Source organism: Homo sapiens, chromosome 5 (assembly GCF_000001405.40).
Source record: "Homo sapiens chromosome 5, GRCh38.p14 Primary Assembly".
Lineage (NCBI taxonomy): Eukaryota > Metazoa > Chordata > Mammalia > Primates > Hominidae > Homo > Homo sapiens.
Window position 1 is genome coordinate 44,327,718 of NC_000005.10, and position 16,150 is coordinate 44,343,867.

Genomic DNA, 16,150 nt, shown 5'->3' on the forward strand with positions numbered 1-16,150 from the left:
CAGTCATTCAACACTTTAGCTAAAGGGAGGAGCACAAATTCTTTTCTGTATGTGGAGACTTAAAGACTACTAGGAAGCACACAACCATTTCACACCCTTCCTCTTTCATCATCACCAGCTCCTCTTTTTATTGTTTCTCCAACTTGCCTGTTGACAAAGACAGCTGCTAACAATTGCATTTGTGGTACTAGGATATGCAGTCTAATTGCATAGGCTTGTGGCCAGGGGTCTTGTCCAGTTAAGATTGATTTTCAAAAGGAGAGCTACAGAGACATTTCCTTAGATGTCTTCCCACTCACAAAGTTCAAGGGACATTCATACTATACTCTTAAATGGCTGCACTTGAAAATTGTTTTCATGTTTTGTTTTGTTTTTTTCCTTTCACCTTTATGTAACCCCTCCAAAAATCCTGGCATAGATGTTGAGTGAAGAGAGTACTGCTCATTAGAATCAACAGTTTTCTTTTGTTCAGTTGCCCTTGCTGGCTAACTACTAAACAACGTAATCGCATTGGAAAGTCAGAGATATTTTTGCCTTTGAAACTGAAGCAAAATGGTGACACAAATTCTTTAGGTAGCAAATTTGCTGGCAAATTTATTACAGACATAAAAACATATAACCAGTTGTTTTCTTTACAAGATACTTATTTATCAGATTCTGTACATTTCCCTTAACCCTTACAATTATCTTATCTATGAGATCTTAACCCATACTGACAATCTCATGTATATTCCTAAAATACTTTTAAAAAGTCTAATGGTCGGGCATGGTGGCTCACTCTTGTAATCCCAGCACTTTGGGAAGCCAATGCAGGAGGATTGCTTGAGCCTAGGAATTTGAGAGCAGCCTGGGCACCATAGTGAGACCGCGTCACTACAAAACACACACAGAAAAATTAGCTGGGCATGGTGATGCATGCCTGTGGTCCCAGATGCTCAGAAGGCTGAGGTAGGAAAATCACTTGAGCCAAGGAGGTAGAGGCTGCAGTGAGCTGTGATTGCATTACTGCACTCCATCTGAGTGTCTTTTGCAGCAACGTGGATGGAACAGGAAGCTGTTATTTTAAGTGAAACAAGTCAGACACAAAAAGACAAATATGTATTCTCACTGATAAGTGGAGAGGATACAAAATTATCTGGGTATGGCAGCGCACACCTGTAGTTGCAGCTACTGAGGAAGCTGAGTTGGGAGGATGTTTGAGCCCAGGAGTTTGAAGCTGCAGTGAGCCACGATTGCACCATTACAATCCAGCCTAGGTGACAGAGTGAGACTCTGTCTCTGAATAAATAAATAGCCTAAGAAGAGGAAAACCTTATAAGAAAAATTATTTCAAGTGGATTCCAACCCAGAATAACTAGTTGACGTATTTGAAGAATTAATAATGTAGATTGTGCTCTTACTGTTAGTAAATAGGTGCATTTCATTGATTCCTTTTGGTTTTACCAAGTACAGTCTTTTGTTTTGTTTTGAAGTGGAGTCTCACTCTGTCTCCCAGGCTGGCCTGGCTGGAGTGCGCTAGTGCAATCTCAGATCACTGCAACCTCTGCCTCCCGAGTTCAAGTGATTCTTCTGCCTCAGCCTCCTGAGTAGCTGGGATTACAGGTGCATGCCACCACACCTGGCTAATTTTTGTATTTTTAGTAGACGCGGGGTTTCACCATGTTTGTCAGGCTGGTCTCAAACTTCTGACCTCTTGATCCTCCCGCCTCGGCACCCCAAAGTGCTGGGATTACAGGTGTGAGCCACCGTGCCTGGCCTAGTCTTTTCTATATTTGTAGAAGTAGATCTTTCTCATTGGCTGGCATAGATTGGTGATAGTTTCTTAACTTGGCATCACTATCTGCTATTTCATCAACACCTCCAACCTAAACTAGAACGCATATTCACATGAAAATTTAAATGAAAAAAAATCACAAAAATGAGCATGTACCCAATATAAGAAACATTTGCTTTGAAATTGATGGCTTGGACCTTTTAAGTGGTTTTGGCAAAATTACCATCTGGTCTCCAACACAAAACAGCTGTTTTAGGTGGCAAAATCTTGTCAAGCTAAAGCTCCCAACCCTTAAGCACGGGTAATTGGCAAGACCTTGTTCCAGTTCATCTTTAGTCCCTACTGAATCTGGGCAAACAACTGTGAATTTGCGCTAAATTCCTCTTCCTATAATAGGCAGCCTGGCTTCCCATGGAGACACAGAGTTTTCAGAGCCTTAGTGTCCTCAGGGTATCTGCCAGTACAAAGCTGGTCTAGGATAAGCCACATTAATAGCAGTTTCCTCTTTTCATTCATAAGCTGTCCTTTTATATTTATGAGCTCATTCTTGTGAGTTAAATATTTTGGATGTATTTCTGCAACTTTAGTATTTACCCAATACTTACTCAAAAACAGTAAGTTGTCTAATCCTTTAGTAGTTTTTCAACATTTTCAAAAGTATTGCATTTTCAAAAGAAAGTTAAAGGAGCATTATAAACAAGGTGCAAGGAGACAGTGGCAGTTGAGACTTCGCTTTCTCAACATATGGCTTATGTTACAACTGAGCAAGCCCCCAGCTTTTATCTCTGGGAGCTGTGAAGTTGACTGCTTATAAGGTCTCAATGTCTAATTAATCCTTACTTAAAATTCACCTAAGTAAGTATAACAGGGATAGGAAGTTGGTTTCTGTTAGCAGTTCCACCTTTCACCCTACCAAACATCTGGGAAATATTCAGTTTAAGATCAGATCCAAGCCTTTTGGCATTAACTACCTTAAAACATTAAGATATCACCAGCAATTTGCCTCTGTTTCAGAAAATTAAAAGCATATTTGAGATATAAACATGAGTGTGTCACTAATATTACTGGCAATAATTGAGAGCTATTCTTTTATTATAATGAGGGGAAAACAGAGGATATTCTCAGATGAAATAGGTAGAGTAAGTCCAAATGGTAACATTACTTTCCTAAAATAACTGTGTATGTAATGAATGCTGAAGGTAAAGCATATTAAATGCTAGTGTTTTCTTTCATGGCTGTTGCACTATTTGTTAGGATAGAGAGCATACATAGCTTATGTAAGCAATATAAAGCCTCATCTGTCTCTTAGAAAAATGTCAAAATTACAATTTAAACTGTTCAAAATATAAACTAAGAATTATCAACTTCATTGATCAGACGTCATTTTTTGTGAGATTATTGACTGTTTGCTTAAAATTAAAAAAATGGACGTTTTCTTCAGACTTTGTCTCACAAACAGTAATTTGCATTCATATTCTTAATAATTAATGGTGAGATCATGGGGAAAAGACATCATAAGTAATGATTCCTGGTAAAATTATGATGGTTATGACTTCATTTATATACTAAAGCTAATGGTAAAAGGAGAGAGAGACAAATGAGAAGTGCTTTTCTGTGGTTTGAAGACATAGTTCTGAAAAATTTCTTTGGGAGCTAAATTTAAATTTCTGACAAGCCTCTTCCTTTTGTCCAGATACAAATTAAGCCAGACTAGATAGTGCTTAAAATTTTTGTGCACTTATTTTAGGAGCTCCTTTTTTCTGGGGCCACTCCACCAAGACTTTGCTTATTACATTTTTCACTTTGGAGCTTTGCTTAACAATTCAGTCTCTTTCTTAGAAACTGTTTGTAAACATCTATCAGTATCCAAATTCTTACATCCATAAACTTCATGTGATTTTAGGCTTTATTAAATAATTCCATTGATAATAAGAGAAAGAGGAAAAGGAAACTGGAAATGTGACTGTGCCTTTAATTGGAGATTGCAAAATTTTTCTCAAGCAATTTTCATGTTTGATTCAATGTTTTCTAAAAAAGCATTGACATTTAAAACATTCTTTAAAAGGTCATTTTAAAGACATGTGAGCAAGTTGTACTGAGGGTGTTGTATGTGCAATTAGGGTTCTTTCCTCTGTAAAGCCTTGCCAATTCCTTAGATGAATGAGAATCCATCAGCTCAGTTTTCATCACCTTTTGTGTCTCTGAGTCTGACACAATGTTGTTGATCCCATTTTGCATGCAAAATACATGTGGGATTGAAAATTAAAAGCAGTTACCAGCCGGCTGTTAATAACACATAACCAAAGATCATCGAGAGCAGAAATCATGCTAGCATCATGCTAAAAAGAATGTCTAACAGTGCCATGAATATTGTGGTTACTCAATACTTAGTGATTGGTTGATATTTAATGTGGACACTTTTGGGCTTGAGATGGAGACATGCAAGCTGTGTTCTGATGGCAGTGCAGCAGAATATAAATAACTTGAAGGGAAAAAAAAAACCTACCAATTCCTCCCTATCTCCCCACCTCTTCAGAAACAACGAATACTATTAAACCCAATAGATGTGTAAAGCACAAGTATGAACCCCAGTTTTCCATTTAAATAATACAAAGAGGTGTTTAGCATCGTGTTAAAGTCTCTCTCTCTCTCTTAATCTTTGGGTAGGGATTTTGTTGGTAGAAGTTCCAGCTTTGGATTGGCAAGTTGGAAGCTGTATGAATTTGAAACAGCCAGTTAATGTCTAGGAGTTTCCTTCCTCATCTGTAAAATAAGTTGGTTGCCCCAGTGAGTATCAAAGACTTTTCCAGCTTTATAATTCTATGATCTATGAACAAGAGCCAAAATCACAATTTAGGATTTGGCACCTGATTTTATACTATGCTAGTGCCATGGAACTGCTTATTTCATTAATCTCACATGTTGAATTTCTCTATGTAACCTGGTTTGACTTTGTTGTTTTTTCCTTTAAAGGAACCAAGCATACTATCCATTTGGCAACTGAGAGTGGTTCTTAAAAGAGCTTTTAATTGGGAAATAAATGCAATGCCAGTGGTACATATGTCCTACTGCCCTCTAGTGGATAAAACCATATCTTCCCTAGAGTAGTTAACAAGTTTGGTTAAAATAGCGCTTCTCAAGCTATACACATCACCTGGGGTGACGCCTTAGCTTCTGCATTACAAACTCCCAGGTGATTTCAGTGCTGCTGGTCCTAGGACCACACTTTGAGTAGCATGAGTTTAAGTGATTTTCTTTGGTATATAATTACTTTAAGTAAGGAAGGAAACATATTTGGCACAGGATATGAAAGAAGTTTCTAGTTAGCAGAAGATGCAGAGGAAGAAAAAGAAACAGAAGGAGGGGAAGGAGGAGGAGGAGAGAAAAGGGCAAGAGAATGAGAAGGAGACGGGGAAGAATATGAAGAAGGAATTAAATCCACCAGATTGAAAGGGCTCATGTGGCAAAACTACATAGTTCTTGATCACTAGCAATCTCTAGAAAGTTTCTATATCTAGGCTTAATAGGACAGTATATGCATTAGGACTTACATTGTGTTCCTCTTATCTTTTATTATATTTTAGTAAATTTTAATTAAAAAGAAGTCCTGACCCCCCCCAAAAAAATTACAACTTCTTGAATCAAAGTTAAGATTTTACAATTCTATAATTATGTAAACATACATATTAAAATCAGTCTAGAGAGAAAATACTCACTACTTTTGTGTATTTTATTACAGAAGTAAGCTGTGTTGGTGGAACACTGAGTATATATAGCTAGATGCACTTAACTCTTGCATAGTGAGATTTCTTCCCAGACAGTAGAATAGTCAAAGTTTAGCAACAAAAACCTGTATGTTCAAAGCACTGTTCTGAGTACTGAGAATATAGACCTAAGCAAGGAAGCCAACCCAGCAGTGGCATTTTGTCATGAGTTAATTCCAGAGAAGAAGAGAATAAACAACTATGTTAAAGTATAACAAAATTTATAGAAGATTAATAGTCATCCCATTTATGGAGCATCACTATGTCCTTGACCCTATGCTAAGCAAACATCGGCCATTATTTTGATGGCCCCATTATATTCTCCATTATATACATAAGGAAGCTGAAACTAAAAGAGGTTAAAGTCAAGGTCCAAACTCATGTATGACATCAAACCTTAACCACTGGATTGTGTTGCATTTCATTGATTTTCAAAATGTTAACTCCAGCTAATCAACAGATGAAGGGGAATCCTTCCCCTCTGTGTTCCATATTTTCAACAGCTGCCTCTTTAGTGCAATGGAAGGAGATAATGTGAGGCTGCCAGTTTGAGTAATAAATAATGTGTGTTGGTGTCTCAGCATCTCTTCATTTTTATTCGATCTGTGAGGAGCGTGGCTGTAGGAAGAGGCAGCGGGAGGGAAAGCAGAACCTGAGACTTGTATCTCTGTTTTAAGTTTGGTTCCCTACTCTACCCCTTCAGCGTAGCTTTCATCCTCTTCAGTAGATTAAATCTTCTGGCCCACACCCTCTTTATTTTCAGAAACAAATGGTCACGTGGGGCAAAAGGTGATTCTCTTTTGCTGCTACAACTAGGAGGGGCATCATTTCCTTATAATAATGGTAAATATTACTTCAAATTTACCTTCCCAGTTTTCCACTTCCAGGCAAGCATCAGTTACTTGTCTTGAAACTTTGTTATGCCCCATTTTTTTATTTTGAATGAGGATATAGTGCCCTATCCTTATGTCCACAACCTTAGGCCTTGTATCCGTTCCTGTTTTGCCATATCATCTCTGTACTCCAGAGTAAGAATCCATTTTAAAATACTGCTTCTTCTCATTCTTTCATAGAATATTCTAAGTTTGTTTCTGGAATAGTCTCAGGCATTGTCTACAAAGAAATCTTGAAATCCAAAACCAACATAAAGGCTCTCCCAGGTCACTTAAAAAAAGAAATGTAAGCCACCTTCTTATCCCAACTACATAGGGGAATATGGTTACTTCCCACAGGGAAATTTTTTTTTTATTATACTTTAAGTTCTAGGGCACATGTGCACAACGTTAGAAGCTTACCAATGGAAATGTCTTTAGAGGTCATATTAAAGAATGTCAGTAATTTGGATTGGACACAATAAATGTCCTAATGGTTGAATGAATTACCTAGCTTAACACAACTGGTGGTTAAGCCAGCTGAAATTCAAACTCATGTTTTTTTCAATATCAGCCAAATGCTCTTTTCACTAGCTCTAAAAAAATGATACTATTGCAGAGTAGTTACCACCTGATATGGTAATGCCTAGCGAAAGCTGGTGCCTGACATTGTTTAGTCAGCTGACAAATAAAGATACTTGCATAAACAAGCCCAGGAAAGGCTCAGTGGAAATTGATCATGAATGTTGGGAGAAAATCATGAGTAAGCATAAGATAAATCCCTGTATCACAGAAGAACTTTTCCCTTTCTTTGTCTCCCTTAATCATTCTCACTTGAACATTTTCCCCTACTAATGTTAGGATTTTAAAAAGATATAATATTGTATTTGATTTAATTTAATCTTTTCCAAGTACTTCCAGACTCAAAATTTAACTTCATCATGAAAGAGTGATAAATAACAGCAAGACAGGAACATATAAATCTGAATAGTCTTTTTCTAATCATCAGTTATAAATGAAATTTGGTTTTCAAACTAGGCTTACAGGTAGGAATATGTGGCTCATAACATAACAATAATCACTCATAACAATGATCACTCACCAAGAGGCATTCATGCATCTTTTCTTAATGGTGAGAAGAAATGACCTACTCTCCCTTCCCTTCCCTCAAGCATGCCCAAGTAGACTGGAGATCTTCAGATTTTCCTTTTTGTATCAAGTTAAACTCTAGTGGCTGTATTTTCCATTCTATTTATAGCTAGTGTTCTACTTAGTATGTATCTTAGTATAAAACAAAAAACATACTTTCATATTAAGGGTACTAAACAAAAGTTCTCTTGGGAATTCTACTGGTAACAATCATTCAGATTTTATGTTCCCAATTCTATGTGACAAATATAATGTTTGGCATGTTAAACATATTCATTGATTTACAACCTGAGTGTTATTAAGAAAGGCCAATTACATTCTATTTATTTAGGTTAAATTATTTTTTAGCACATGGAAGCTAATTATGGAAAACACATCCTTTGTACCAATTCATACAGGAGTCAAGCCATGATTAGAGTTGCCTGTCTAGCTTTAATATACTGCTTTCCACTTTATTGACTATACAGATTGGGAAAGTACATATTGAAAATGAAAGACAATCTGTAAACAAATGTTATAGAATATGCTACTTTACCTAGGCATACCCATTTTAGTAACTCATATAAACATTCATATTATTGAATATTTAAAATATCAGAATATAATTGGTAAATATTAATAACAGTAATAACTTCAACAGAGGTCTAACAAATAGGACAATTCTATGGATTCAAATGTTTGACCAACTAGAAAGTAAAAGGGAAGAAAACTGAAATAAGATAACATAAAATATGTACCATTTGAATCACAAATTTGTAGATGAATAAGGTAGAATTGTTTTATCTTTATCATTGTATATTAATGAACTTGCATGTTTTTCATCATATTTTAAAACCAAATTTTCATCAGTATTTCATTAATGTTTTTGGAGAGCTGTGCTTTTTATAACTGCTAATTTTTAAGTTCTTTGTAAGTTTGATTCTCTTTCTTTTTTTCTAATTCATTTTATCTCTTTAATGAGAGTTACTCAAAATATATAATTTTTGTCTGAAAATGATTTAAATAGTCTAAGAAATACTGGTGTTTTTCAAAATTTCTTTCATGGTATTTAAATGCATAATTTTGTGCTAGTTTATATATTTTATTCTCGTCTTTTTGTGGTTTGATTTCATAATATTCAGAGATAATCAGTTTCAAATACTTACTGTGATCAAAATTACTGATTGTCAGATTCTATGTTTGTCTTCTTTGTTTTGTTGTAATCATATCACTTCATTTCCCCACACCCTCCTCCTCCGGGGAGAGGTGGAGAAGAACTGTCTCATGGAAAGATTTCTCTAATGAGTACCCTAAGTGACAGAAAGACCATATAGAGCAATGCTTATACATTTGGACTTTGGAAAGCTGGAGTTCAAATCCTGGGTCCACAAATTATTTAAGCTTGCTAAGCCCAGTTTTTTCATCTGTAATATGAAATAAAAATAGAATTTAGAACTGTGGTAAGAATTAAATGAGATGATGCCTTAAAAGTATATAGAAGAATGATAAAAGAATATGGTAAAATGACAGTTACTTTTATTAATCTCCTTGTTTTGCATATTTCAGAAGTCAGCAACTTTTCATCTTAGTTACGTTCCATCTAAGGTGAAATCTAGATAGAGGAAGTGACATGGAAGACAAAGAGCGCTTACTAACCAATTTGGGGAAGTGGCAAGGCAGAATGGTAAACCTGAAAATAACCAAAGATGAGCCTCAAATTTTCTTAGATCCTATATTCCCTGACAGCTGACTCAAACTGAGAAAGAGGCTATCTTAAATAAGATAGAGTACCACTATTTCTGCCACTACTATTATAACAAATTTTAATCCCAAAAATAGGCTTTAACATCTAGTGGTTTCACCTGTGAATGTTATTACATTTTTTTTCTAAAATAGGTAAGCTTATGTTATATTAGTGATCCCAATTTATTTTGCAAAAAAGTAGCATAACTCTGATACTGAAATATTAAGATAACACAAAAAGAAAGATACTATTGAATCCTAGATAAAACATTAATTAATTGAATTCCACAGTCTATTATAGAAGATCTCATTATGATCAATTGAGGCATATCCCAGGAATTCAAATGAAGTTCACTCTTAGTAAACTACACCGACTGACGCAACTAGTATTTAACATTAACTCACTAGTCCAGGTTAATGCAATGTAACATTAAACAAAAATTAGAAAGATAAGTATTAAAAAGAGGAAACCATACCATCATTACCTTTTGATGATAGAACTGCCTAGCTAAAACACAAAAATAATCTACTGAAAACATTTATTTCAGTTTGTTGAATTAAAAGTACTTTAAATCAACATTTTTCTATGCGTGAAGCACTATTAGAAAATAAAATGGTCAGAGATGCCAAAAACAGATTTGGACATTAAAAAGCATATTAGGGCCCAGCGTGGTGGCTCACGCCTGTAATCCCAGCACTTTGGGAGGCTGAGACAGGTGGATCACGAGGTCAGGAGATCGAGACCATCCTGGCTAACACAGTGAAAACCCGTCTCTACTAAAAATACAAAAAATTAGCCAGGCGTAGTGGCATGCGCCTGTAGTCCCAGCTACATGGGAGGCTGACGCAGGAGAATCACTTGAACCCGGGAGGTGGAGGTTGCAGTGAGTTGAATTGTGCCACTGCACTCCAGCCTGGGCGACACAGCGAGACTCTGTCTCAGAAAAAAAAATGCATATTACAATTATTATGTGTAATGATGACAAAGTGAAAACAATCTAAATGTCCAAATAAATGTATGTATTAAATAAATTATTATTCTAACATGTAATTATTATGTTTCCACCAACAATCATATAACATGTTAGAAAAAGGTTAAAAATAGCATTAATGAGTTGAGGAATTGCTAATAATGTAAGCTTTAAATTTGATATTTTATGCTCACAATTCTATAAAAGCTACCATTTAATATATTATCTTAAATAACACATATAGTTTTTACATATCTGAAAGAAGGAAGATAATCTAAAATAATGATTGCTTCTGTGTGATGACATTATTGGTTATTTTTATTTTCTTTGTACTCTTCTGTATTTTCTACAACCAATATTTAGTACTTGTTTTTCAGAGTACAAAATTGATTTTCAGAAAATATGACAATAATCAAATTTGAGGGATACCAAAAGAAATTATGAAGCTCTGTGTAGACCTCCTGGTTTAGAGTCCCTGCAGTGACCGGAGGTCTTCTGCCATTTAGAGGAGATAAATGCCATATCTACATTGAAAGATGCGGCACAGATACTATTCAGGTTGACAAAAGCATCCGTCCAGCATGTTTAGCTTCCTAAGGCTTTGATGTGTTTAAAAGATCAGCAAAGCTTTTCCCTTGTCTTCCCTCATCACAACACAAGTTCAAAGAAACATTTATTATGAAAAGGCTAAATTCTAACAAATGTATCTCCCCAGATTTGAATTACAATTTAAGTTTCTCTATAACTTTATCAGAATTTCCCCAACAGCTGAGTTAAAGTACTCTATTAATTTTCATTAGCTGTTTGTGATTAATTTGTTCTGTTTTAAGTATCAAAGTCAAAAGAATGAGACATGTTATTGTTATTGAGCGAGGAATGTAAGAAGATAACAGAGAATTAATGTAGAAAAGCAAACTGTATCTAGATTGAGATTGTCTAACTAGCTACTTAGTAATGAATTTAAGGCATGTTAGGAACATCAGTTAGAATGTGGGTAAATGGTCATGTAAAGCCAAATCCATGAATCTGATTTCCTGTTCATTTAAGACCAACTATATTTAATTTTAAACAGCTTCTTTCCTTTTACTATTTTTTCTAAAAGCGATCAAAGCACACAATGAATATGATTTAAAGAGGGTATTTTATGAAAATTTCCAAAATATCTAATCTGTCTTTAAATAGAGACTAAAATCCAAACACAAAGAACATTTTAAGCTTTATTTAATTATTTTTATTTGAAGTCTTTACATCTCAGGTTCTAAATGTTGTACAAATATGACCAGAATAGTTAAATTATTTTAGAGTTCAGTAGTACCAGTAAGTATAAACTAACCCACTACTCAAAAAATGTTACACATATTATAATTTAATTGGCTTTTAACTTTTGAATGTAGAAATTATGATAATTGTTCTCACAGTATATTAAAGACATTTAGAGTTGAGGACAAGAGAAAAACCCCACAAATTAAAAAAACTTTTAGCATAAGGCGTTCTGTTGGGGATAAGAGCTTTCTTTATATAAGTGGGCTTTGTTCTGGTATAGCAAGACAATTTTCCTTGCGTATTTGCAAATTATCTAAAATGCAATGATAACCTTCTATCAACACTCTATTTGTGAAACAGTAACCTATGAGGCCCATACTGAGAAATTTCCACTTCTTTTTCCACTTTGCAATTCTTTGAATGATGTCTTCTTATCTTCAAGGTTTCCTCTGGCCATTTGACCCCTATCTTTAATGTCATGCTTTCTGTTCTGTGCTGTTCAGCTCCTCACCTTCCCACTTTTGGTTAAATTCTTCCCTTCTTTCAGAGTCCTTATTATCTCAGACAAAGGACTGGCACTTCAGGCTATATGCCCCCATTCTTTTCATGTTCCTATCAATGTCCATCTCTTGCATCATTCTTATACATTGCTTTAAATTAAGGTAGAACTTTGCTCATTTCTCTTGAGTTGAACTTTCTTTCTCCACTATTTGGTTAGTTAATAGGACAGGAAAACGGTAAGAAATCAAGATAATCAAGATTTATGAGAGGCTGGGAGTGAAGAACTTTAGAAAGTAGCCTCATCTTTGTCCCAGTGACCACTTGCCACTACTAAGCCAAAGTGGCCATGAAATTTTCCATTTCGCACACATCTACCACTTTGGACAGTTAAGGAGAAATGGAGTTAAAGAAGAAAGGAGTGTATAAAAATGACGGGAGCAGATGAGACTGAAATAGCAGTGGAGGGGAAAAGCAGGAGTTGGCATCAACACAGAATTTGGGAGGTGAATGAACTGAAAGTAGCCCAAAGAATAGGAATAACACTCCTTTCCCTGTCCCTTCAAGAATTGCCCAAAAGTTATACACTTTAGTGAGGGTTATAAGCCTTTGAAATCTACCCTTGTATCCATAAAGTGCCAACATTTTAGCTTCTTGGTGTACTTTCTTTAGCTTTTTAAAAAAGATACAGCACCAACCTAATAGAAAAATATTATGAGATATAATAAAATTTTGAAAGTTCAATGACATTATATGCAGCATGAAAAGAAGTGTTTAATAATAGGACACAGATAAATGTTTCTTTGTTGTGATGGCTACAGGTATTGTCTTTTATCAGTATAATTTTAATTTTCATTATTCTGACAATACTGACTTAAATGATTGATAGTTGTTGGTTTTCACTTTAGGACAGCAGAGTGTTACTTAACATGAAATTCTGAAAGAAAATGCTTTTGAGAATTTAGACTCTGGTGGAATAACTTTCTTGATACACAGCTAACCTTTTTTTCTAGGAATTTAAAATCTACCGCCTTTGGTAAACTCAGAAATGTTGAGAAGAAAAGAGAATTAGGAATGTATGTGTTGTCCTTTGCTCAAAAGAAAAAAAAAAAAGAAAAAAGAATTGACAGTCAAAGAAAGAATCAATCCAAGGTGGAAGGGGAGAGACAAAACAAAAGAAAGAAAGAAAGAAAAACCATGTCCATGTATAAACCTTAGAAATTAACATGAGAACCACCCCCAAGTTAAGGATTGGTTTACATGATGACTTGAAATATACTTTCCATTTAATATGAGAAAAATATATTCTAATCAAGTCTTCCTTTGTTCTTATTTTTTAGCATTTCTAGAGTCTATCTGATTTCTCAGTTCTAGCGTAAAAGTTTGCATATGAGTTCTAGGTGAAATAAATGGCAGTAAATGCTTGTTAATCTAATAACTATTATAGCATAATGTTTTACAATGGAAAACATTATGCTTGCTTCTTTCCTACAGATATTATGCAGATTCATTGAACATGTCTTTTTGAAAATGTGGTATACATAAGGAATGCTGCATTGGATAAAAATTGGTAAAATTTCACTTGTAGGGAATACTTAGGAGCAAGAATGTAAAAAAACTACACCACTCCGTTATACTTCATTAGGTCATGTATCTGGTTTACTGAATACAATGAAGAAGAAATATGATATGGTTTATTATTTTATATATTCAGATAGATAATAGATAGTCTGAGCTATTTCCATAATTCACTGCCTTGTTATTAAAAAAAAAACATAAACCTGATGAGTGTTTTCAAGTAGGTAAGTTATTTTAGTCTATTCTTTGAAGCAGAGCAATGAAAGCTCTATAATGTCCACATAATAGACCAACTTACTGTAATGTAATAATCTTGGAGGAGATTTAACACCCATTATCTGAAGACCTAAAACCTCTAGGGAACTGTTATGGTTGCTCAGCACTGCTATAGGACCTAAATGTAAGAACAGAAACATTTCTGAATAAGATCCAAAGTGACTGGGGAGAAATCATGGGACAGTGGGTTCATCATGGAATTTAAAATCAGACAGAGCTGAACCAGGTCTGCCTTATACTCTTTTGATTGATATTGAACAACCCTACTTCATAGAATTTATGTAAGTAATACATTATTTAAGGTATGGAAAGTATTCAACAAATAGTGGTTATTTTATTTCTAAATTCCAACTAATCTTGTATGCTTTGCAGAAATACCATTTGGTGATGATTGAAGGTAGAGAGGGGAAAGCAATATTGTCTTTTCTATAATATTCTTTAAAAAGAGTGTATGCATATCTTGATAACCTCACTCTAGCAATAACATTTGTGAATTTAAAACTATCTGGAAGTTAGTAAATTTTTATTCTCAGTCCATGCTACCACGTATTCCTTAATTAGCTGTCTCCTTTATAAAATTATATTATTTTAGTCTTAAATTTGATCTTCATGAGTATCACAAACAAATCAATGCACACTTATGAAGTAGCCCTTATGTATTATTAACTATAGGATACAAAGAAGTAGAAGTCACACTCCAGCATCTAGACCTTACTTTTACTTCAGTCATTGAAATTCAGTGTACATTGTGTTAGGCACATTCTGTCAAAGGACAAAACAATTTGTGAAAGTTAATAAATATTAGATATAGATGTCACAAATTCTTTTATAACATATAAGTTTCTGAATAAATTGTATCAAAAATAACTTCAATTGGAGTTCAAGGGAACAAGGATTTTGGATTAAGAAATTTATAGAAAGTTTTAGGAAAAAAAAAAAAACTAACCAGAATTCATTTTTCAAAGTGCTGTGTTTACTGATTGCCACGTATAGGTTAAGCACTCTAGTAAACCACAGGCAGGAGGAAGACAGAGTACCCTTACATAAAGGGAATGAAAATATTTAGGAAGTTCGTTACCTTGCCCACACTAAAGTTCATCTACATTAAAAAAAATAAGTTGCTTGCTTTGAGATATTTCAGTAATTTAAGTTGGAGAATGTTGCCGTCTAAAGGAAATCCATGATGTCTCCAAATTTGGGGATGTCAGTCTCTCTGTTTTACATGAGTAAACAGAATCTAGAACAGTAAGCCAATTCTAGCGGAGTAAAGTGAGTCTCTAGATTTTATTGCATTGTCTACTAGCTCCAAAGCATTAATCCTCTTCCCCAAATGCATCACATAGTTTGGTAGGATCTCATTAGTTATATAATAATTTCCTCACCATTCCATCAAAGTTCCGAACTTCAGGAAAGAAGCATTTCCAGAGATGGGTGCAGATTCAAATAGAGGTGGGTGGGTGTGTGTTGCCCTTACATGAACAAATAAAAATAACTCGTCTAGAGTTTATAGTTCATGACAGGCATTTTGTTTACAAAAATAATTTTTCATTTAAAAGCTCTACTTAAAAAATTTTTTTGAATTTAAATTTCCACTTTATGTACAAGTTAGGTACAAGTACTTATTCCCCACTGAAATCTATGCTATGAATCCTAAAGTCTTATCAAATGACAAGAAAACAAAGAATCATTACAATCATAACTTATCTTGGATCCCTTAAGTCTAAAGATCCTTAAAGCCTATTGCTAATATTATAGCTCAACCATAGGAAATACGACTGAAGATCATGCATTACCTGATTGTATTATCCAGTTTTATTCATGTTTAGCACAAACTCTCTGATAGCTAATTTTACATTAAAATTCTGTCTTCTAAAATGTGGGACACATAACATTCTAGATGTTTCATGCTATGTTGAGGGTATATGAGATGCTTCTGAGGTGGCACATACAAGTAGTATGAAATAACATTAAATCATAAAATGAAACACTTCCTGTTTTTCAGTTCTTCTGGTTATGTCAAGGAAAATCTCAGTTTATTACTAATATGTCCTTAACACCTCTGGAAAACTTGCTTATCTCCCTTTCCAACAAATGAAATCTGAGGCCTCAGACTTAGATTCTTTTGCCAAAACATAGCATATAGCCACAATTTAACCATGGTATCTTGTTTTTATTATATTTAATTATGTGATCACCTTCTATTTATGGCAACAGATATTGGCTTTCCCTTTATTAGAGTGATATAATAATTTGTCTTTAAAAATACATTAATTTTAGTATACA

At 34.4% G+C, this 16,150-nt stretch overlaps 1 protein-coding gene across 2 annotated transcripts in view, besides 1 other annotated feature; it reads right to left on the bottom strand.

The window, feature by feature from the left end:
- FGF10 (fibroblast growth factor 10) overlaps positions 1-16,150 on the bottom strand; it is an 89,174-nt gene that overhangs the window by 27,471 nt on the left and 45,553 nt on the right. The window lies entirely within an intron of this gene.
- Positions 1,121-1,335: a silencer, noted in NCBI's record as "fragment chr5:44328940-44329154 (GRCh37/hg19 assembly coordinates)". NCBI's record gives its function as "represses an EF-1alpha promoter that drives an FKBP-Casp9 reporter gene in an ReSE screen in K562 erythroleukemia cells {active_cell/tissue: K562}" and the evidence as "EXISTENCE:reporter gene assay evidence [ECO:0000049][PMID:32094911]".